Below are 24,563 nucleotides of genomic sequence, written 5' to 3' on the forward strand. Positions count from 1 at the left end.
GGTCCTTTTCAAAAACTCAGGCAATATACTTGTTTGGTACTAACCAGCGGCTTACTAAGTCACCTCACATCCTGGTGCACAGAGCACTATAGATAATTAACATTGTGAATTCTCCGTAAAAATCCAAGCCAACGTACTGTTGGTCAAAGATTTCAAACACAAGAAAATCCTTTGTGTGAACAGGAAACTGATTTGCGTACTTACTGTTAACTAGACAAACAACTTGTAAGTGAATTGCATTTGTGCTCTTGGCAGCCCTGTTTGTATAAAGAGGCTTAGCTAGAAGATTAAAACAAATTCTCTTAAAATATTGCACTGTAAAACCATACACCTGCCCAGAGTTCAAAGACTGTGGTCTGATATGTTGTATAAGCATCAGGAAGCTCTGACATGGGAAACAGTTTATAGTCACATAGCTAGACATCTAAGGCAAATTCCCCTAAGTCCAAGGCAATGTGAAAAGAGAAAGCCAGACTCATCCACTTCCTGAAGAAAGGCCAGGTGGAATGATAGCAAGCCGTACTTAGGAAGCTTCCAAAGTCCTGTGGATGAGGGAAACTGATGACTACTGAAAGGCAGGCAAAACATGAAGCCACTCGGGTATGCAATGACAGAAGACAATTTAGGATTTTGTTAATTCCAGCAATTATTATGATTATGAAAAAAATGCTTCTTCTTAGCCTATATGGTGATTATCCTTTAGTTTCTGTTGAAGATTATGGTCTGAGGGAAATAGTAGGATATAGAAAACATAAGAAGTTTTAGAGAAGCAACAAGGCTGTTCAAGCTTTCACGCAAGCTGAAATTTTCTGGGAAACTACCCACACACCAGATAATATTAATATAACCCAGGTGTGCAGTGGGTGAAGCAGGGAGAGGCCCATTCATCTAGGTGTTAAAAAAATAACTGCTGCTTTTATTACTACCTGTAATTTTCAAATTAATGACCTAATGCTGCACAGGATAAATAGACCACCTCATAGAGGATAGTTGAATTTATTTTTTTAACCCAAAGCAGGAAATGCTCTTGCTGGGCTCTGTCCCTCTCCTGAAGCTGCTCTGGGCACCCTGCCAAGGATTGCTCACCAGGCTCCTATTTTCCTTTTTTGATCTCATCCAATCCGTTTACCTTATGCTCTCACTTTTTTTTTTTCTTATTTCTCTGTATTATATACCTCGTGCATGTTAGGTAATAGAGGCAAACTGCATTTCCTGTCTGCCTGCTTAAAGCAGGGAAAGATTAGCTTGGACAGATGTAAAAAGCACTTGCTAGTTTTGCCTTTAAAGACACAAGGATACATAAAAATCCTTTAAAAGTGAGACTAAACTGCACATCCATAAGCCTCTGGGATGACTGTGTTTCTTTTAGATAAAACAAATGGTTTTGGGGAACTTAAGCTATCCATGTGGATCCTTCCTATGTGGTGTGCAAACAGGTGGGCCACTCATGGGCTCAATGCCAGTGAGTACCCCCACTCCATGGGAATTCATAGAATGCCCAGTGGCAGCCTTCAATCTCTGGTTCCTTGCAGAACAAGGTACCCAATCTCCCGTTAAATTAGGCTCTGTTTCTTTCACTGAAAGAATTATGTCTTTATTATTTACTTTCCAGAGAAACCTGTCTTTACAAAACTCCAAAGTTTAAGCCTCTTAGCATTTTCTCATCAGTTTTAGCAGACATTTCAAACTAACCAGACTCAGAGACACATTCATCATTCCATCTGTCTCTCAAGCTCTCCTTCTCTTCAAATGGCTGTTCTACTTCTGGGTAACTGATTTAATTTTATAAGTCTAGCTACAATCCCCTTAATAAACTTACAGGGATCTAGTTCAGGTAGGTGGAATCATGAAAGCTACATGGAATGCCACCTGTTGGAGTTTGCTTTCATTGTAGAAGAAACTTTGCACCATATGAGCTGCTCTCCAGGAAGCACCCTTTACATCCATCATGTTGCTTACTCTTTCATTTCCTGCTATTTCAGCTGGCAGTGGTGCACCCATGTTCAATTTCTGATTGCACCACTTCCTAGCTGTGTAACATTGAGGAGAGTCCTTTAAGCCTTGGTTTCTGGCTTAGGACCATGCCAAACACAGTATTATCTGGTCTTCCTTTCTGGATTTTCCCTTGGAGCCAGAGGCCATTTCCACTAAACTGAAAAAGACAAAGCATTGCCACGCAACTAACAAAGAATTGATGCCTGTTCCTTGACCCTCCCTTTATAAGATTTCCTATTTCCTGCTGCAGCTGCTGAAATTAGGGATTCACTGACTTCAACAGTTGATATCGACTCATTTTTTATCTTCCTGTGATGCCCACAACACACACACACACACACACACACACACACATATACACACACACACATATATATATATATATAGAAAGAGAGAGAGATTGAGAGAATTACTTAACAAGCAGTGATGAAAACTTAAGACATGTTTGTTGTATGAATGAACCTTACTTAGTGAAAACTTGAAAGGGTAAAACTTTTTAAAAACTAATATGGACATGCCTAGACCCACAAATGTGTTATTTAGCAAAGCACTTTGAAACACCAAAGTAGCACACCACAATTACCAGCTAACTTCACCGAAAAGATTTAGGGTTTTGAACAGGAATGTTCCATAGACCATTCTGTTCAACACTGTTCAATAATGAATCCAGAGAGTCCTGATTTTTCAAGTTGAAGAAAGGCCAACTTGTCTTGTCTGTGACACTTATCAGGTGTTTCCTGAATGTCATGTGCCAAAGTCTATTTTTATGCAGGCCCAGAAGTCTTTTGTTGCTACAGCAAAGAATCTAGACCAAAATCCCAGATACAAAATGATTTAGAAAACACTAAAAGTATAAAAACTGAGAGTAGCTGTCTCATATGGTCATGGTGAAGATTAAATGAGATCATATGTTATATACTCAGCAGAGAGCCTAGTAAGCACTCAGCAAATGTTAATAACCATTGTTATTTTTATCAAAGTGTAAAATAGCATTTTGAAATTTCACAGAGACTGCAACTAAGCTAAAATATGCAACTCTGCTTATAAATATGTACTAATGACAAGTGCTGTCTTTTAATATCCTATGATCATAAAACATCTGTCTTGGTAGGGATCCCTTGAAATAGGTCCTGAGTCAGGGAATTGGGTGCCTATGAATTACTGAGAGAGTCCTCATCAGGAAAAACCTGTAAAGGGGAGACGAAAGTAAGACTAGAGAGGGATAAAAGAGCAAGGATGTGGTCTCAGACAAAACCTAGCCTTGCCTTGATCCATAGGAAGGCTCTGGGGCTTAAATCATACAGCGTTGTTGCCTATTGAGGATCAGCCTTTTATACTCCCACATCCATGAGCCATTTGCTGTGAGCTGCACCTCCTTCCTCCCACATGAAAGATGAGGGCATAATCTCTAGGGCAAGGCAGTCCCCTTCAGCACAGGGTAATTCTTCAAAAGTGGAGAGGTGTGTTTGTTAGCTTGGGCTGCCATAGCAAAATAGCACAGACTGGGTGGCTCTATTTCCTCATGGTTCTGAGAATAGAAGTCTCAGATCAAGGTCCAGCACAGGTGGTTTCTTATGAGGGCCCGATTCCTGGCTTGCAGGTTGCTGCCTTCTTGCTGTATCCTCACATGGCAGAGAGAGAAAGAAAAAAAATTCTCTTTCTCGCAGTATAAAGTCACAGCCTTATTGAGTTAGGACCCGACCTCTATGATCTCATTTAACCTTAATTACCTCCTGAAAACTCTATATCCAGATATGGTAACTTTGGGGATTAGGGATTCACCATACGAACTTTGAGGTGACACAAGTCAGTTCATAGCCAGAGGCATCTGTGACCCTTTGGCAGTCAACACTCATAGCAACTGAGGCATATGTACAAAGGCCAGGTATGATAGATTGTTTGCAAAAAAGATGGCAATTCTTCTTTCTGTATGCATGACCCTTTCAATATGACTTTGCAACTCCCTCACTACTCTTTGTACCTGGACTGGCTTTATGAATTATTTCGACCAATGAAATGCAGAAGTGACATTGTACCACTTCTAATCTTAGAGCTCAAAAGGCTTGCTTCCACTTGCTCTCTTGCAGCTTGGACGCCACCACATGAATAAAGCTGGGTTGTCCTGCTGGATAAGAGGCATCATCCTGGCCAGTAGCAAGCCAGCCAATGACCAAACACATGAATACAACAGCTAGCCTCCAGTCAATCCTCAAGCTGACCACAGACACATGAGTGAGCCCAGCAGAGATTAGCTAAGCCTGGATGGATCAGCAGAACTACCCAGCTGACTGGTAAATTTGGGAGCAATAATAAATGGCAGCTGTGTTAAACTACTAAGCTTGGGGCATGGAAGGGGCCTGTTAAACAGCAATAAATAACTGATACATACACTAAAGTGAACCTGGACAGAAAAATGGAGTTAATACAGGTCACCAAGCATCTTAAAGAAATAATTCATGAAATTCCTATGTTTTTCTCAGGGGAGCTTCTTTAATGAGTAGCTAATTCTATGACTTTTTAAAATAATATAAAAACTTAATCTGTCATCGGCAGACATACTCTTCTCAGTAAATATTGAATCAAATTCCTAGAGTCTAGTTCAATTACTGTCTAGCCTCAAGGATACATATCTAGATTTAAAACCAATCTTGGTCTAAGGACATTGATCTCACCTCAGCTTTCTTTCTATACCGCAGTCCACAGGAGGTATAGAAGCAAAACACGGTACTTAGAAAAAGAATTTTGGGGCTTATGAACTGGCTTTTCCATTTTGTATTTGTATAATTTGGCAAAGAACCTGTCTGAATCAATTTCCTCATGTGCCAAATGAGGATAATATTCTATAACTACAAGAAAATTATCAAGAGGCTCAAATGAAATACCAGTGTAAAAGTCTAGATAAGGTGAGAAATGTTACACAACCATGAGTGAATTTGAGGGGACCTAATCTGTATATCCTTGGAGACTCTGGGATGAAAAGATAACCAGGAGTTCTTGTTGTATAAAGGTTCTGATACTTCCTGAGATAAATGCAAAGTGGATTTTGAGAAACATGCTCAAAGTTTGAGCCTTTGAGATAAACGTGGTCCCCAAGTTCTTACCCTGAAGTAGAAGATATCTGACATGTGCCTCAGCAAGAGACTCTAATCATGAAGCAAAAAACAGCATGTTTGGGGCATAGCTCAGAATACTTCTGACCTGATTTGAGACATCTGTTCTAAATCCTTCAACAGAGGGAACAATAAAAAGGAAAAGTCCTGGTTATATATTGAAGTCCTAAACAAAGAATTGGCTTTCCGGTTCACATTGGCTAACTGAATACAAAAGTTTACTGTGGGGGAAAGAAATCCCATTAAGATGACAGAAAGCCACATATACATACACATAAAAAGTGAATCCGTAATAGAGTGGGAAATTCGAAAGTGATGCCACCGATCAAATTTCTAGAGGATATGGAGTCATTCAGACTAGATTGAAAGTGGAAACTAAGAAAGCTGAGGAAGCCACGATCTCATATAGAAGAAACAGAAGGTCAAACAGAGTGTGTTTTCCCAACTGTGCCCCCAAATAATCCAAAGAGCAGAACCAGTGGGAACTAGGGGAAAGAGCAGGATGAAGACCGTTAGTAAGCTGACTAATTAAAGGATTTCAAAACATTTACATCAGTGTCCACTCATGTCCCTGATGTCATGAAGACAGTGGTTACTTCTTAGAGCTACGACTCCAGATTCAAGCCATGAGAACACTTCTCTAAAGTGAAAGTTGGGGCATAGAGAATTCCAGAGTAGCTGAGGCTGGAGAAGCAGAGCAGTACTACAACCTATGGTTACTGTGAGGGACTGGAGCTCTTGGCATTTGTGATCTCATTCATACTTTCCCTACATAAGCTCCCAGGGCTCCTGTAATCAGAACCTGTTTCTGTGTCACATGAACAGTGAATTTTTTTAAATTTTTGAGACAGAGTCTTGCTCTGTCACCCAGGCTGGAGTGCAATGGCGCGATCTTGGCTCACTCCAATCTCCACCTCCCGGGTTCAAGTGATTCTCCTGCCTCAGCCTCCCGAGTAGCTGGGATTACAGGTGCACGCCACCATGCTTGGCTCATTTTTTGTCTTTTTAGTAGAGACGGGTTTTCCCCATGTTGGCCAGGCTGATCTTGAACTCCTGTCCTCAGGTGATCCACCTGCCTCGACCTCCCAAAGTGCTGGGATTACAGGCATGAGCCACCACACCCAGCCTAAGAGCAGTGATTTTCATTCAGGCTAGGATTCACATCTATAGCTAAGAACAGATAACCAGAATATCTAAATATTTGTGGAAAATCAACCATAAATATATCAACTATAATAACAATAACCACAACAAAGTTCTAAACTCAACAAGCAGAAAAATTAACCCCTGGGGAAATAACAAAATCCAAGCAAATGAAAGAAAACTACAAAGGAATATAAACACAAGAAATTAAATAAAACTTCAAAATAAGAATAATTTCCTCAGATTGGTTTGAAGAGATACTGTGTTCAAAAGAAAATAATATATTGTAGTGAAAAAGTGACAAGGGAGATCTCCAAAGTAAAAAATATGATCACCATCTATTGGCGGCTCAAACAGAAAAATGTACACAGCTAAACAGTCAAATAGGCAGAAAATAGAGCCAAGTGATTCTCCTACTATGTAGTCCAGAAGGACAAAGAGGTGAAAAATACAGGGGGAAAACCTAAAGAACATGAGGAAGAGACCCAGAAGAATATTCATCCATTTATTAGGCATTCTAAAAAACAGAAGAGAGGGGATGAAGGGGAAGAAATAAAAATAATAATAGAGTAAAATATCCTCATCCTTCAGATGAAAAACCTCAAATTAAAAACAAAAACAAAACCCACTAGGCTTATCTTGATGAAATTTTGGAAACAAACAATAAACAGACTATCCTAAAACACTTCATAGAAACAAAGGGTATACCAATAGGAAACAGAATCAGATTAACATTGAACTTCTTATCTGCAAAGACAGTTGCTAGAAAATAAAGGGACAATATCATTACAATACTGGGGAAAGGCCATTTTGAATCTAGAATTCTATACCTAGCCAAACTCTCACTAAAAGATAAGAACAAGGTAAAGATTTGAGGAGTGTGTCCTTACTCAGAAAAGGTACCATTAAAAAAAAGAAAACTTTTCTAAAAGATTTTATATATATATATGTGTGTGTATATATGTATATATATGTGTATATATATGTATATATGTATATATATGTGTATATATATATTACCTAATACACATTAAGAGAACAGTATACTCCACAGTAAGAGAATATACATTCTTAAGATCCATAGAATATTTACAAAAATTGACCACATACCTATGCATACCCAAACACATACATTCACACACACGCTCTTGATAAATTTCAAAATGCAGAATTTATTTTAGCAACAATTTTCTAACTCCAATGAATAATAAATTAACAACGAAAGAGGAGCAAAAATTATTCCATTTGCTTGAAAATTGTTAAACATCTTTCTATAATAAATCATGAGTAAAGTCAAAAGTAAAAACTGAATGTATAAACAAATTGGAGCTGAAAGACAAGGAGAACAAGATTTATAGGATGTGGTCAAAGCAATGAAACGGAAGAGTTCCCTGATTCCCCTTGCAGGGCGTGCGACAGGGGTGTGGCTCACCTGTTCAGTAGCCCCCTCTGCAGAAACCCCTTGCGAGAGGGGGAGCACGCAGATGGGCAAGTGCAGAGGCCGGGGTGAGGGCTTTGGGCTCTGGCTCTGCGGTAGCGTCTAGAGGTGGGTGCCTGCAACCCCAGTGTTACAAAGCTCTTTCAGCTTGGCCACCACAGACAGCTGGAGTGTTAACCAGCTCAATGGACCTTCTGCTTTTTCACAAGGGCAAAGGACCAGGGGACAGCTTTCTGTATTCCGAGCTCTTTTCCAGAATCCAGGAAAAATCGGGTCACACACGGACTTGAAGGATGAATGCGAGGTTTTATTGAGTGGTGGAAATGGCTTTCAGCAGGATGGATGGGGAGCTGGAAGGGTGGGGATGGATGAAGTGGGAAGGTGATCTTCCCCTGGAGTTGGGCCGCCCAGGGGCTGGACTCCGCTCTGACTGCCCCGAGCCAAACATCTCTCGGTGTCCAGACGTCCCTCCTCTTCTCTCTTTCTCTGCTACGTCGTTTTGCCGTCAGTCGGCTTGCCTCGTATCTCCTCACCTGCTGGTATGCTCTGGAGGTTGGGGTTTGGGGTTTATATGGGGGCAGGATAGGGGGCGTGGTGGGTCAAAAAGCAACTTTTTGGGCCCCAAACAGAAACGCCTCTTCTCATTTAGGGCCGCGGGTATCCAGGCTTGAGGGTGGGGCCTTAGCCAGGGAACCGCCCTCTTCTACTCAGTATTTCCGTCTCCTGTTCGTGTCAGCAATACACAGAAGAAAATCCATTCCTAAAAACATATATAAGAGAATAATAAAATTGAAAACTAAGTATTTGTGAAACCACCTTTGCAAAAATCATTATCAGTGAGAAAAGTATGACAGTGAAAGAGAGCGGAGCTAAATGCTTTTGTAAAGCTCATGGAAAGCCAACAGGCTTGGGGAAGGAGAGGAGCCTGAATCCCGCTAAGGCCCAGACATGAACGATTGTTAGGCGGTATTCCAGAGGTTTTAAGACATGCAACTTCCCCATTTACTCCTACAAATAACACCACTACTTGACATTGGCCTTTTGAGATATCTTTTCAAGTTTCTTTGCATGTCTGACACCCATGACTCCACTTGGGATCCCCCAAGCCTGCTCCCGTGGCCCCACCCAGACGTGACTCAGCAAGCAGAAGGACAGATTCGACCCCCTATGAATTCATCTCTGCCTCAACTAATCAGCTGCAAGCCTAGCCACTCTCACCCTTTCCCCCAAAATGCCTTTGAAATACTTTTAACCTAAAGGCTATGGAGGAGAATGATTTGAGTACTAACTCCATCTCCCACATGGTGTGGCTGGCCTCATGTCTATTAAACTATTTCTCTACTACAATGCCATGGTCTGTCTTTGTGCAGCGGGCAGGAAAAACCCCTCAGGCAGTTACATTTCAACTAAGAAGATTAATAAAGGAAAATAAATACAAATAAGAATAAAAGAAGATAACTATAAAATAGAAAACTGAAAGATTAATAAAGCTTTGATTAATAAAACAAACCAATGTTGTCTTTTTAAAAGACAAATAAATGAGTCAAATCTTCAGCAAATATTAAAACAGGGAAGAAGTCAGCACTTCTGTAAAAACAGGCACAGAGGAACAATCAGGATCTTATAAGCTGAATTATGAGGCCTGAACTATATTCATTCTGAAGGCCACGGGGAGCCATTCTAGGGATTTCTGAGGAAAGGAATGGCCATGGTCAGATCTGTGGTTTTGGGAGCAATCCCTCTTGTAGATATGAGGAAGGAAGAGAGGAGAATCAAGTTAGAGATACCAGCAAGCAGGCTTTGCAAGAGCCCAAATAAAGCAGTGGCAGCAGGGATAGAAGGCATGAGAAGGATTCAAGAGGTGTTTATAGTGAATAAAATATAGGCTTTGGTGACTAATTGAATGGCAGGAGTAAGGAAAACAGAAGAAAAGCAGACCTGGAGGGTAAAGATGAGTTCACATTTGAACATGTTGAAACAGAGTTATCCCTAAGTCATCCAGGTAGAGATGGCACATGGGCTTTAGACATTCAGATAGGCAGCTTGGAGGAGGCCTGGATTAAATACCTAAATTTGGGTTTTATCTGGGTCTAAGATTAATTAATGGCAGATCCAAGGATAGAGTTAGTCTTTCATGCCAATTTGGATCAGTTTGTAGTGTCATATTGAAGACACATGTTCAGAAGGACTGTGCGGCCAAGTCAAGGATGGGCAGGAATGAGTACCAGGACAAATCAGCAATACATGCCATGGGCCTAAGCCAGAGGTACAGTGGCAGGCAGGCAGCACATTGCCTGACTCTGTCATAAACAGTTGAACTCATGGTCAAGTTTGCCCCCCAAACAGCATGTAGCATATGAAGAAAACCATGATCAAGAGGAATCCAGTGAATCACCAATATTTAAGAAGTAGATAAAAGAAGGTTTGTCTTAGGATAAGTTCAGCAATTTTTATCAACCTGGGTTTTTAAGCATTTCACCCTTTTCACAAGGAGTCACAAAGTTTTGCCCAGGTTGTACCTGTAATGATGCAATTTGAAAGCTATGTGTATCAATTGACTTCACTGCTTCCCAATTTTTATTAATACAGAATTCCTATCCATTGTCTCTTGCCTTTAACTGAAGCCTCTTATGTTTGAGATCTAGTAACTATGGTCCTAAACTAATATCCAAAACAAATACTCTCTTTGGCTATCCTTAATACACTGCATTGATTTTTTTTCTCCATTCAATAAAGACAGAAATAGCCTGCTATCCTTATTAAATCTAAATTAGATTAAAAATGTATGTACTAATGCTGAGTTCTTAGGGATAAGATGGCCTAAATCAGAAGTCAGAGAAAACTTTCATAAATATCTAGAACATAAAGTCGACCTGACCATTATAGTATTCCAAAGTCTTAATATGTGGCTCATGAATGAGAAACTATTTTGATTGTATCATGTTGTCCTAAGAAAGGCTTTGTGCTAGAAGTCAGCATGTGTTTTAGTTTGCAATGTGTCAGTAACGGCTGTGAAACTTTGAGTTAGGTAATTGGTTGCTGGGGTGACCAACTTATTCCCAGTTGCCTGGGACTTTCCCAGTTGTAGCACTGAAAGTGCTGCATCCCAGGAAACCTCTTACTTAGCTCAGGGCAAACCACCATATTGGTTGGTATCTCTGAACCTTAATTTCCTCATTTGTAAAATGGGATAACTGAATTAAATAATCTGTAAAATCCCAGTCGACTCTAAAATTCTAGAGACAAACAAATTATACATGCAAAAAGGTGGCTCCTTGCATAACACAATTTTTCCTTCAAGAAAAGGCCAACTATTCAAATATACTGCCTCCGTTACATAGCATAGTACTTTAAATCCCGGAGATTTAATCCCACAAGATTACACAAGTGGGTCACGCCCTGACTAACACAGTAAGATTAACATTTTTCAGGGATCTAAAGCTAGGGGAAACTAGGAAACAAGCGAGCAAGTGGCACTGCCTGGGCCAGATGAATGCCCCATTTTGGGACTAAGAAACTTCCACTTCACAGTTCTGCCCATCCTGGCCTGGCCAACATCAGATCCCTTTCCTTTTATTTGGTGGCCATCAACAGCAAAGGTCCTGAATAGAGATCAGCCTCCAATCAGAATGAAAGCAGGGCTTTGTGAAGCCATGAATACAACATGCAGTGACCTGGTTTGTATAGGGTTGGTCAAAATGAAAGGGAATCTTTCTTCAGCAGAGACCAAGTGGTTGCTTATCTCTAGGACTCCCAATGTGAAGTCACTCAGAAAAATAGCAGGTCCCAAAGAGTGTATATAGTTGTTTGCACTGCCCTGCTTCTTTCTATCAAAACTCACTGTCAGACAATTTTCAACTGCTTCTGAGACACAAGCAGTTCTCAATAGGGCCATCTGAGTTTTACTAGTATCATCTCTCTGAAAGACATTTTACAGCGCCAAAAGAAAACTGACTTGTCATGTTCTGATAAAGTTTGTTAAATCTAAAAATGTTTTCTATAGGAAAATAATAAAGGAAAACTAAATGTGGAGCATTAGGAGTCCATGTTCATGCTTCACAGACACTGACTTGTTGAGCCATCTTAATCACTGACAGTTGAGTCAGATGCTCTTACCTGAAATTCTCTGACAGAAAAACAAAGGCTATAGTGTTTTTTCAAGGAACTGAATTGTGGTTAAAATATCTGGAAAAGTTCAGGTGAATACCTTTAAAAGAATGGGAGATGGGTTCACAGATGCATCTAGTTCCAGGAAGAGAAGAACATAATTTAATAATTAGCATCTAGTACATTAAAATTTTAATATATGGAAGACAGAAGCTAACAATCCTTTTTCTATAGAGAACCAAATAGAAAGTAGGTTTAAATTTATCATGTTTCTCTCCTGCTTAAACATAGCCTCCTACATCCCACACAACAAATTCCAAGTTCCTTGGATCAGTTAGTTATATTCAAGATTTGCCACTGTTTATTCCACCCCAGATTTCCAAACTTATCTCCCATTTCTGAACTGAAACTTGCTCTCTAACCATTCTCTACTAACCATCATTTCCCAAGTACCCATGAGCCTTTCCACCTCAATGCCTCACTTGTACCGTGCCTTCAACCTGGCCTGCCCTCCCCACTTTTATCTTCTTCTTGGTATCATATTTATCCTCCAGTCTCTAACCCTTCACAAAATTTTTCTTGAGTGTTCCAGACTACACTGATTTCTCCTGCTTCTGAATTCTTACAGCACATATTGTCAAGTACTTATATTAGGCACTTAATAACCTACTGTGTTAGCTGTTTTTTCACACACATGTCTTGTCCCAACTAGATGCTTACAGCCTTGAGGGCAGTGCTTTTTATACCATGCATTCCCCTACAACGTCATTAAATTGAACAGTACAATTTACTGAGTCCTGAATTAGGTCACAAGAACATGCCCTTCCCCGGAGATTAGGAGACTTGCCCATTGGCCTGAAACAATTTAAAAGAAGAATAATTGAAGCTGGAGGGATAATAATAGACTCTAGAGGATAATAATAGAAAATAGATAGATAATAATAGATGATAATAATACACTCCAGAAGGATTCTAAAAGTCTAAAATTAGATACAACTGACAAGCCACTTGTCCTAGGCCAAGCAGAAAATAGGATGGAAAATGTGGCAATAGCCATTGACTGAGGTGTGAAAATATTTAACCAAGTAATCAATTGGGTTATAGTTATTATGTCAAACACTGATTCAGAAGTATTATATTATTAACTTTTTGTAGTGAATTGACTTAGTCAACTAGTATTAAAGAATGATTAGACTCAGAGGTCTACTGCAAATCAAGCCAAAGCTAGAGTAAGTTCAATTTCCTCCTTTCTCTTTCTTCTTATTAAATTTATCTCCACAAGAGACTGTGTTTTGGCAGAATATTGGGTGTATTTACAGCAAACCTGAGGGAAAATTAGAATCTGCATCAAATTTCAAATGGTGAAATTTGCTCAGTGACTACTGTCAAATTTTAGTTAAGACATGAAGACATGAGGAATATGAGAGAGACCAAAGTTCAGAAATGAGCCTTCTCAATATTCTGGTAGCTCATATGGGATATGTTGTTCCTCCAGAGCCCTTCGGGATGCCAGATGTCTTGCTTTCTCTCTCCCTTTCTTCCTCTATTTTTTGGTATCTCATCTTCTACAAGATATCTAGAGCTGTGCTTCTAGGCGAAAGTAAATGTAATACGCAAGCCATGCCAAATGTAAAACAGTTACCACTGAGAAAGCATTTTTCCAAAGGAGAGGAACTAGCTTATCAGTAGGAAGTAATTACTTTTAAGACAGCACAGTTGATTAAATTTTGTAAAATTGCTGGACCTATGTATGAGAGGGTATAGAGAAACTTGGAGTTCATAGGACTCTAGAACAACTTCTCTGGTATGGCTCCAAAAATCGATTTCTAATCCTTCTTCTGATAGTTAAAATGTCCACAACCTTAGACTAGGTCTAGGTCGGCCATACCTGCATAAAAATTCCTATAGAAAAAGAAATGGTGTTTCAGTCATATCATTGCCCATAATCAGACAATTCTACCACCATTTAACACATTTGTTTTCAAGAGCTCCATATTCTTCCATTCCATCAGCCGTCCTCTGACCCTGAATTCCTTCCTTCTCAGGATAGACTTACGTCTGCCATTTCTGTCGTAGTCTTTCTGACATCTGAGATTCCACCACCTGTCCTATTACTTTGTCCCCCTTTTCAATACGCAACTCTACACTAACCCATTCTCCCTCCTTCTCTGATAGGGAGCCATTGCAGATGTCTGGCCAGTGAACCGAAGGGTCACCTTAGAAATCACTGCCCTTAATTTCTGATCTATAGTCCTTACCCTCCCTCATCTCTTGCAGACTTCCACAGCCATCCATGATCCTCAAACTCCCAGCTAAATCAATGCTTCTCTCAGTCTTTGCAGCAACTTCTCCTATACTTTACTCACAGAAGAAAAAGCCATAGACATAGACTGGGAGAGACTATTCACATAAATATTTCTAATTTAGAGTTTGTGTCTATAATATATAAAGTATTCATAAAGTCAATAAAAAGATATATAAATCCATTGGGATTTTTTGTTTGTTTTTCTGTTCTTCTTCTTTTTCAGAAGACAGGCTCTCTCTGTCACCCACGCAGGAATGCAGTGGTGCCATCATAGCTCACTGCAGCCTCAAACTCCTGGGCTCAAGTGATTCTCCCACCTTAGCCTCCCAAATAGCTGGGACTACAGGTACATGACCGGTTATTTATTTATTTATTTAGGTATATACAGACTCTTGATTGCTCAAGCTTGTCTCAAATTCCTGGCTCTAAGAGATCCTCCCACTTGGACCTCCCAAAGTGTTGGGATTACAGGCATGGCCACCATACCCAGCCCATAAATCCATTTTTAAAAGACAAAAGTTTGACCAGATACTACACAAAAGAAGATATGCAAATAGGGAATAAAAACATGAAAAGGTGCTCAAAATCATTAATCATTAAATAAATACAAAGTACAAACTATAATGGGACACCTTGTCACATCCACTCACAATAAATAGAATAAAAAAGACTGGCATAACTGGTGGTAGGAATTAATATAGCCATTATGGAAAACAGTATGGAGGTTCCTCAGAAAACATAAAATAGAATTACCATATGATTCAGCATTCTGCTTTTGGGCATATATCCAAAGGAATTGAAATCAGTGTGTTAAAGAGGTATCTGCACTCCCATATTCATTGGAGTATTATTTGCAATACCTAAAATATGGAAGCAACCTAGGTATCCATCATCAGATAAATGGATTTTTGAAAGGTGGTGTATATGCACAATGGAATACTATGCAACCTCAAAAAAGAAGGAAATTCTGTCATTTGAGGCAACATGGATGAACCTGGAGGACATTGTGCTAAGTAAATAAGCCAGGCACAGAAAGACAAATACCACATGATCTCACTCTTATGTGGAATCTAAAAAAGTTGAACTCATAGAAGCTGAGAGTAGAATGGTGGTCACCAGGGGCTGGGGATGTTAGTGGACAGGGAAAGGGGAGATGTTGATCAAAGGGTACAAAGTTTCCATTAGCCCAGAGGAATAAGCTTTAGTCACTTATTGCACACAATGTTGATTATAATAATGTGTTTTATATTTCAAAATTGCTAAAAGAACAGAGTTTTAATGTTTTTACCACAAAAATGCTAAGTATGTGAGGTGATGAATTTGTTAATCAGCTTGATTTAATTATTCCACAAGGTAAAAATGCTGCATATCAAAATACCAGGTCATACACCGTAAATATATATGATAATTACTTGTCAATTAAAAATAAAATTTAATATAAAAAGGCTAGCATACAAAATATTGGTGAGAATGCAGAACAACTAGAATTCTCAAATGTTGCTAATGGGAATATAACTACTGTTTTGAAGAATGTTTTGGTAGTTTCTTATAAAGTTAAATCGAAACCTATCCTATGACCCAGAAATCCCATTCAAGGTCCTCACCCAAGAGAATTGGGGAAAAAAAATTGTCCACAAAAAGACTTGTATAAGAAAACTTCATTACAGTAGTTAAAGCCTGGAAACAGCCCAAATGTCCATCAATAACTGAATGGAAAAACAAATTGTGGTATAGCTATACAATGGATCCTACTCAGAATTAAAAAGAAACAAACTATTGATATACACAATAATATGGATGAATCTCAAAAATAATATTTAAAGGAAAAAAACCAGAAAGTACATACTATCTGATTCCACGTATATAAAGACCAAGAACAAGCAAACCTAATCCACAGTGAGAGAAATAAGGTTCTCTGGTATTGGGAAAGGAAATAATTGGCTGAACGAGGAAAGGAAACTTTCTGGGATGATGGAAGCGTTATCTATCTTAACAGAAGTGTAGATGCCATAACTGTATGCATTTGTCAAAATTCACTAAACTGAAAATTTAACATCTACCAATATTATTATATGTAAATTATACCTCTATTTTTTTTTTTTTTTTGAAAGAGTCTTGCTCTGTTACCCAGGCTGGAGTGCAGTGGCTCGATCTCTGCTCACTGCAACTTCCGCCTCCCAGGCTCAAGCGATTCTCCTGCCTCAGCCTCCTGAGTAGCTGGGATTACGGGCACCCACCACCACGCCCCAGCTAATTTTTATATTTTTAGTAGAGACAGGGTTTCACCATGTTGGCCAGGCTGGTCTCGAACTCCTGATCTGCCCACCTCAGATCAGCCCACCTTGGCCTCCCAAAGTGCTGGATTACAGGCTTGAGCCACCGCACCCAGCTTATACCTCTATTTAAATAAATAAATAAATCAAAAGTAGAAAAAAGTGAAAATGTCTGTATGTCTATATATTCCTCAAAAAATTGCATCTGGGTTTTATTTGTAGAATATCTTACATTCAATGGTTCACACTCTATAGGTACTTTATAAAGCTTGATAAATTGTTGATTTCAAGGTATACTCTTACAAACTAAACTGTTTCAGTCTTCAAAAAGGATTTATTGGGGAGTGTAGCATTGCTATGTTTGAAAGTATCAATATTCAAGTCAAGAAATGAACTTTTTTTTTCTTTGTAGTCATTGAAGCCTAGTAAAAACCAAGCCACTTGAAGAAAGAAGTAAATGTGAAGCTCTGGGATGACCTAGCCATGTTGATCTGTTCACTTACGGTGTTTCTAATGCCCAGGACATAGCTGAATGCCTTGTAGGCATTTAATGTTTATGGAATAAATGAACAAGTCAGGATGGGTAGAAAAGAGAAGACAATAGGGTTATTAGAAAAGAAAAAAAAAGGTATAATTCCTAAAAATAGTTACTCTGCCAATAAAATAATTAATATTAGACCTGTAATTATATTATATTGACCATATTATGAATTTTGCATCATTGTCGCCTCCTAAATATGTTATAGAAGAAAGTGAGTGCTGGATAATAGGAATGGTGTTGGATTAACCATGCATGAATAATTCAAAGTTGATTTTAGGCACCCAGGACTGAGATAGGAATAATAGAAAGACCTTTAGAATTTTTTCTTAATAAATTAATGTTTATTTTTCAATTGACACATAATAATTTCACATATTTATGGGGTACAGTGTGTTGTTTCAATGCCTGTATAAGTTGTTTAATGATCAAATCAGGGTAATAACCATATTCTTCACCCTAAGCATTTTATCATTTTTTAGTGGTGATAATATTAAAAATGTCTTCTAGCTAACTTGAAATATACACTACATCGTGCTTTGCTATAGTCACCCTTCTGTGTACTAGAACACTAGAACTAACTCTTCCTTTCTAACTATAACCTAAATGCCCATTGATAGGTGGATGGCACACGGATGAACCTGGAGGACAGTATGTGAAGTGAAATAAGCCAGGTACAGAAAAACAAACATCAAATGATCTCACTCATATGTGGAATCTAAAAAAGTTTATTTCATGGAAGGAAAGGTAGAACAGTGGCCACCAGTGGCTGGGGAGGGTAGGAGAGAGAGGGGACCAGAAGAGGCTGGTCAACAAGTTCAAAGTTACACTTAGAATTCTTATTAAGCTTGATAATCATATTATGAAGGTTCAGGGTTCATAATTTAGTCTGCTATCATCCACACAGAAAACATGTTAGGTCACCTATAAATTATACTACAATCTTCTCTCCAGTTATTATGGTACGTTATTCTAACTAAAGGCAAACGTATTTTACTTTGTCTGGGATCTACCAAGATCTTCAGGGCTGGGAAGTGTTACCGGTGGAGGGTGTCCAGGCTCTTGGCATTTTGAACAAAGAATTGGACAAAACGCACCAACAAAGCAAGGAAACAATAAGGCAACAAAAGCAGAGATTTATTGAAAATGAAACTACACTCCACAGGGTGGGAGCAGGCCTGAGCATAGGGGCTCAAGAGCCCAGTTACAGAATTTTCTGGGGCTTAAATACCCTCTAGAGGCTTCCATTGGTTACTTGTTGTATGTCCCATGTAAATGAAGAGGCTAAAGTGAAGTTGCAAAGTCATTTATTAGTGTACGCCCTATGTAAATGAAGAGGCTATTTCCCGTCATAGCTGATGTGTTTCCGTTTGATTTCGTTCTAAGAAGTTCTTAGGTTACCTGCCTCCATGCCCTATTCTCCTGCCTCAGAAGCACAGCCCTCATTTTGCTACACCCCAATCTGTATCAGACTATCTCAAAGAGCATTCCAGTTTTTAAGAAAAGTTTTCAGAGAAAAATTCTTTTAAATAAACTCTATAATAAAAATCTCTTGCATTTAACATTGGCAGAGTGAAGAAGGGGTATCTCTAAACCCGTCATTCTGAGAAATTATTGTATAAACATATTAGTAAGACAGAAAAAAGGAAGACTGGAGCAGAATTCAATGGAATGGAAATCAAAATAGCAGGAATAGGAAAAAAGATAAATAAAGACAAGAATAAAAGAAGATGACAGGCAAAAGGAAGACATGTGAAGTAGCCATGGAAATGAGATACAAACACAGCCAGCATCCGTCCTCATACGGCTACTTACTATGGCCCTGCAGGAGGCAGAAAGAGAGAAGACAAATAGGACTTCATCTTTGCTTTATCTTTAAACTCCTATTCCTAAATCTAGCCTTATTACCCCTTGTTTTAAGAGGAAAACATTTTACTAAAGGCCTTCTTTCCATTGTTCGAATCTTCAAGACATTTTACAGAAATGAAGCAATGCTGCTAACCTTTTGGGTGACAGTAGGAAAGGAAACAAGAATACAAGGGAGAGCTTATTTCCCAGTCCAGGGAACTTTGCTTCAGTTCTGGCTGAGTGTCCAGTTTCGGATGTAACATTTTTTTCTGAATGTAGACTTCATCATGCTGGTAGCTCAGAACAATACACTGTAAGCAGTAGTGGCAGCTCCTGAGCTCCGGCTCTCAGGACTCTGCTGCAGGTGCTTTAACAGGCATTTCCCTTCCTCCTTCCCTCCCTCCCTTCCTTCTTTCCTTCCTTCCTTCTTTCCTTCCTTCCCTCCTTCCTCCCTCACCCCCTCACTCCTTCCCCCCTCACCCCCTCACTCCTTCCCTTCCTTCTTTCTTTTTTTAAATTAAAGCTTATTTTCAAAAATACTTTCCACTGCAAGTCTCAGCTGGGGTGAAGATGAGACCCAGAGGCAGAGACACAGGTGCCTCCACTCTTCCAGTGAGCTTCCTAAGTCCTGCCTCACTGATCCCCACTTCACTTCTTTCCCAATGCCTCCCTTCCTCTTCAGTCCCGAAAAGGATCTGATGTTGCATTCAAGGAAAACGTTCAAAGCCATTTCAATCCCATTTTGGATGCCATTCCTTTTTTCTGTAAAAGACACTTTAAGCTTCATATGTACATTTTTTAAAAAACAAGTTTTCGTAAAATCTGAGTCCTTAGTAATGCTTAATTCTAATCCTTCCTTCTCTTAATAAAAATTCTGAAAAGGCTGCCTTCCCTAACCTCACAACAGCTGCACATTACCTACAGTGTTTCATACTATTTAATTAGGCTTTGTTTCAGCATCCACAACACCTTAGTCAATTTGGCATTTATTTCATATCCACAAATGCCAGAATTATCTCAGAGTATTTAACACATACGCTGAAATATCTGCAAGGGAATGTTTTACCTGCAGAGGAACAGTGAGTACAAATTCAGTACATTTTCATCCTCTATCCCCTAGGGCGAATCTTCTTGTTCAGGCTTTTTCCCTCTCCGCTATGCTTGAAAAGAAGAGAGCAGAGCATTGTGTTGCCTATCCAAAATGGGGACAGAGCTTCAGGTTAAATGGGTGGAGGAAAAGGTAAACTATTACTGAATGCCCACTATGTACAAGACATTGATGCTAGGTGTTTTATCTATATTTTAAAATTTAACCCTCACAATTCCCTCATGAGGTAAATATAATTATTTCTATTTTCCAGATGATGGAACTGGAGCAGAGAGAGGGTACATGTTAGGCAGTTAAGAGTTCTATCAGATTTCATTACACTACCTACTTCTTCACTTCACCGGATTGTTCATATCAAACTCAAACAAGTAGCTACGACAACCCTAGGAGGACCTAAATCTGGTCCTACCTTGGTTGGTGATTTCACAAAGGTTATGACAATGAGCAGGTAGCCCCTTCCTCTTCTGGGTAGAGCGAGGTCACAGTGCAGGCATACCACCTGAATCATCTGTGTGCCGAGGTCACCAAGGACACAGGCATTGGGGTTAGATAGCTGTTTAGGTCCCAGTTGGCTATGTGACCTTTGGGTTGTTTGTGCATTTATTCATTCATGCATGCATGCATACGTCAGTCTACAAGTATTTATTGAGCGCCTATTATGTGCCAACCATTCTAGATTTTGAGAAAACAGCAGTAAACAAAACAAATTAGGCCATCACAGAGTCTACATAGTCAGGGAATGTAAAACATTATGCCTCTACTTTCTTCTTGTGTGAAGTGGAAGTAATAGAACTGCCCTCATGAGGTTGTGCTAAAGATTAACTAAGTTAATCTGGGATTTTTTTTTTAACTTTAAAATGAAAACCTTTCTCTCTAGTACAAATTGAGCTAAAATCAATATAGGTGATAACAGCGGGACTTTTTGTGTATAGAAATGGGGTGAGAAGGAACAATTGTCCCCCAAAGTGCCAGGGGTAATTTCCTGTCACATTTAGTTGAGAGGAGAAGTCTCTAATGTGAGCTGCTAGGCTACCATTCATTTAAGTGCTAATGGAAATGTCAGGCTGAATTGAGGGTCTCATTTTCCTGCAAATTTCGGTGTGCAAAGTAGTCCTCGGGTTTATTTCTGCCTGGTACAGAAAATAAAGGAAAGTACAGGTGTTACAGTAATTATTTTAAATAACCCAAGCTTAAGCTTAAGAGAGAGTGCTTATCTATAATACCTTTGGAAAATCTGGCATTTTTTTTTCTCTCTCTCTTTTTTGGAAAGCTGGAGCAGTATCTAATCTGCTTTCTAAGGTTCAAGAGCTAATAGGAGTGCACAGAACAAAGATTTGATTGGTTAATGGTTTCCTACCCATTCCAAGGACTTTCTAGACTCCACAGGTCATGGGTGCCAATACAGACAGCACCAGGAGAGTATAGGGGTCAGCCCAAGTTTCAGTAATCAACTTCCTGAAATTAAGGGGGAAGACAGGGAAGACAGGCAAGAAATGAGACATAGCTATAAAAAGCTTAATCATCTGCCCAACATCTCAGGTAATAAATACATCTCCCAGGCAGTGACCCCAGATCTCTCCATTTGATTGTAGACTTAGAATTTTAAAAATCATAAATTTTGTTCACTTCATTTCTGAGAATACTTTGTGGTGTTCTCGATTAAGGGGAAAAAAGGTCATTCCATTTCAAACCTATTCATTAGAATTTTAAAAAGAAAGAAAGAAAACCAAAGTCTTTCATTTAGCCCATGCCTTAAATAAATATTTATTTGCTGATCTATCTTTGGTTCAGGGTTAGCAAGACAGTCTGGTGGTTATGGTTTTTGATACAAGTTTCATTTTGGTATAAATTCCTGCCCAAGAGGTATAAAAAGACACAGAAGTGAAGTGAAATCAAAATAAAGACAATGAGGAAGAACAGAAAGGGATTCTTTTGGAGACATTTTACAGCAAACATACCTAATAATGACAATCTTGGTTATAATTTAATAGTTATATGATGTTTCCATTCACTGAATCCCCTTTATTCTTACACAAAATAATGTGCCATGGCTTCCCTACCTCTTCAAAAATCGACAGGGCAGAGCCACGAGCTTCAGATAGTTTTCTGAGTCTATAGGCCAGCCCCTCCAAAGGGGTAGAAAACATCTGGCAGTAGCTTGTGGAGGCCTGCAAGCCTCCCTCATAAAAGGGGCTCTGAGGGATCATTTTAGCTGATCTCTTTTGACTATGCAAGAAATAGTTATTAGTTTCTTGGCTGGAAATCAATGCTATATGGGTTTTCAACATATCAGTTTTCTGAATTACATGAGGGTGGTTCATAGGAGTAAGCTGGCCGGGCTATCTCAGCTGACTTCCATGAACATTAACTGCATGTCACTTGTACGTGAATCTGGATGCCAAGTGGGCAGCTCCTTTGGTAGAAAAACTAAAAATCACTGGATGTTTCTGTATGTATGTGTGTGACAGCACTACCTAGCTGTCTCTGCCAATGTTCTCCAAGAATTATTCCAGGATTTTTTTTAAAGTTTAAAAGAGAGAAAAATATTGAATACAAAAATCCTATGAGGCAGGTTTAACTTAAGCTGTGACTCTGCCCATAAATGGAAATTTTGAGTACACAATAGAAATTAAACACAAATAACTAGTATTTACTCAAGAAAAGTACACTCACATATTTGCCAAGGGTGAAAAATAAAGATGTGATTTTTCCTACTAAGTAGGAAGGCATCATAGATTTTGCAGAATGACCTTTATAGATCAGAATCATGGAGGGCAACAACCAGGCTAAGTCACAAAATAGACTTTGAGTCTTCTGTCCCTGAGTAGACTTGGTCCAATATCACTGATGAGAAAGCAATGATCCCAGCTTTGAAGATGGCAATCTAGCTCCAGGGTCTAACTCCAACTGTTGCATACAGAAGAGGTTCTATGGTGTCACAAGATCTGAGTTGGAGTCCTGACTCTGTGATTTTGGATATGCCACTGAGCCTCTCTGAAGGTAAAATTAGATCTTGTAATGGAGAGATTCTTACGTTCCAGTCAGCCCAAATCAGAATTCAGGGTCTAGCTAAGCTTAGAAACTGGAAGATATGGTGATTCCTGAGTCTATTTTAGGAGTTTATTTGCATACAAGTAAGAGGTAGTTAAGTTATAAATCTGAACAGAAATGTATATTGGGAGAGAAAAGGAAAATAGGCTTATAGAGAAAATTTTGTCTAATCTCCAGCCTGAAGCCTATGGGCCAAAAGGTTGAAGGCAGAGGTTAAAGGGACTCTTTTACTCCAAATTTTATAAGGGCTGAGACCCTCACGTGGGCATGTGTGAAAACACATAGGACATTCCAGAAATACCTAGAGGGAATGGGGAAAGAAGAAGGAGGGTGTCGGGATGCTCGGCAGCAATGTTTGAAGAGAATCTGAGCCAGGGAAATTGGGATAAAGATGTTAACATGACTTTGTTCTCCCATACATGAAAGACCATTTAATCCTCACAACAACATGAGGAAATAAATATCATTAACCCTGCTTACTCCATTTCTGCGTTTCAGAAGGTAGATAGATGAAGTTAATGCTGTTAACTGTGCATAACAGGATTTGAGTTCTTTCCTGTAAGTAGATCATACTGTCTTTAAGCACTAAATTCTGTTCCTTTGCCTACTTGCAGCTATAAAATTCTTAAAGAAAAAAACAAGACAGACAACTGAAAGGGATGCTCAAATTGTTTTAGATACAGGATAATTAAGTGTCAAAAAGAGAATGAGCAGGGATTGGGTTTGAGAACAACCTAGGCATAAATCAGGAAGCTCGAATTTTTATACTTTCTGCATCAACACTTTTCTTTCTTAGACTCACATGAAAACAGAGTGGAAATACTGAGAGGGAGATCTCTCTCAGTGCCCTTGCAGAGGTCAAACACTTTCTTATCTAACTCTGATTTACTTGGGTTGCATGGAAATTAGTGAGCTTGGCTTGATCACTGATGGTTCTGGCATTTCACATTGGAGACTTAAGCCATTTTGGCCAATGCCTTGGTTTGCCTTGGAGTAACATGGTAAGCAGCTCTCTCAACAAGCCATTTCAATTATTTTTAATGATTATTTTAACCTTAGATAGTAAAGAAAAACCTCAACAAGGGTGAGACACTCTCTAGCAGTTTTAATTTTACTTAAGGTCATGTCTGAGATATCTGGATTTCTTTAATTCTGAATGGAACTACACAAATCTTGCCTTTCTCAGAAGGAATTTCAGTCATTTATCAAGAGCAGAGAGTTCTTTTCATGTTTTGGAAATACAGCTTATGTTCCGAGGGGCCAGGATCACTTTCCCTGCAGCATGGGGCCAGCTCTACCTAGGGAATGATTAAGCCTATTTGATTTAGAAAAATATGCATATAATTGACTCAAAAGATAGTCTTTATATTTATGCAGCTCTTCTTATTTATTTATTTTACATCCATTTCCACAAAGTGCTTTCATATTATTTTCTCAGTTGATTCTCACCAATTCTCTGTGGTTTTGGAAAGTCAAATAACACTGTACTCCTTTACAGATAAGGAAACTTGAGCCCAAGAAAGCTTACTTGATATGTGGAAGGTCTTAAGGGTAACCGATGGCAGAGGTATTACGACTCCTTATTCTTTGCACTGATTTATGAGTGTTCCATTTACTTACTTCTGTGTAACAAACAAGTCCAAACTG

The 24,563-nt window shown here is 39.1% G+C and overlaps 1 long non-coding RNA gene across 6 annotated transcripts in view; it reads right to left on the bottom strand.

The window, feature by feature from the left end:
- The window catches only part of SLC12A2-DT (SLC12A2 divergent transcript), a 142,736-nt gene that overhangs the window by 18,043 nt on the left and 100,130 nt on the right, over nucleotides 1-24,563 (bottom strand). For 4 of the 6 annotated variants that reach the window (NR_152802.1, NR_152803.1, NR_152798.1 and 1 more), the window contains one exon: nucleotides 7,402-8,446. The exons of the other annotated variants lie outside the window; for them this stretch is intronic. This is a non-coding gene — a long non-coding RNA (SLC12A2 divergent transcript). Of the gene's footprint in view, nucleotides 1-7,401; nucleotides 8,447-24,563 lie in introns of those variants that run through there. 6 annotated transcript variants of the gene reach the window in all.

This window comes from Homo sapiens, chromosome 5 (assembly GCF_000001405.40).
Source record: "Homo sapiens chromosome 5, GRCh38.p14 Primary Assembly".
NCBI lineage: Eukaryota > Metazoa > Chordata > Mammalia > Primates > Hominidae > Homo > Homo sapiens.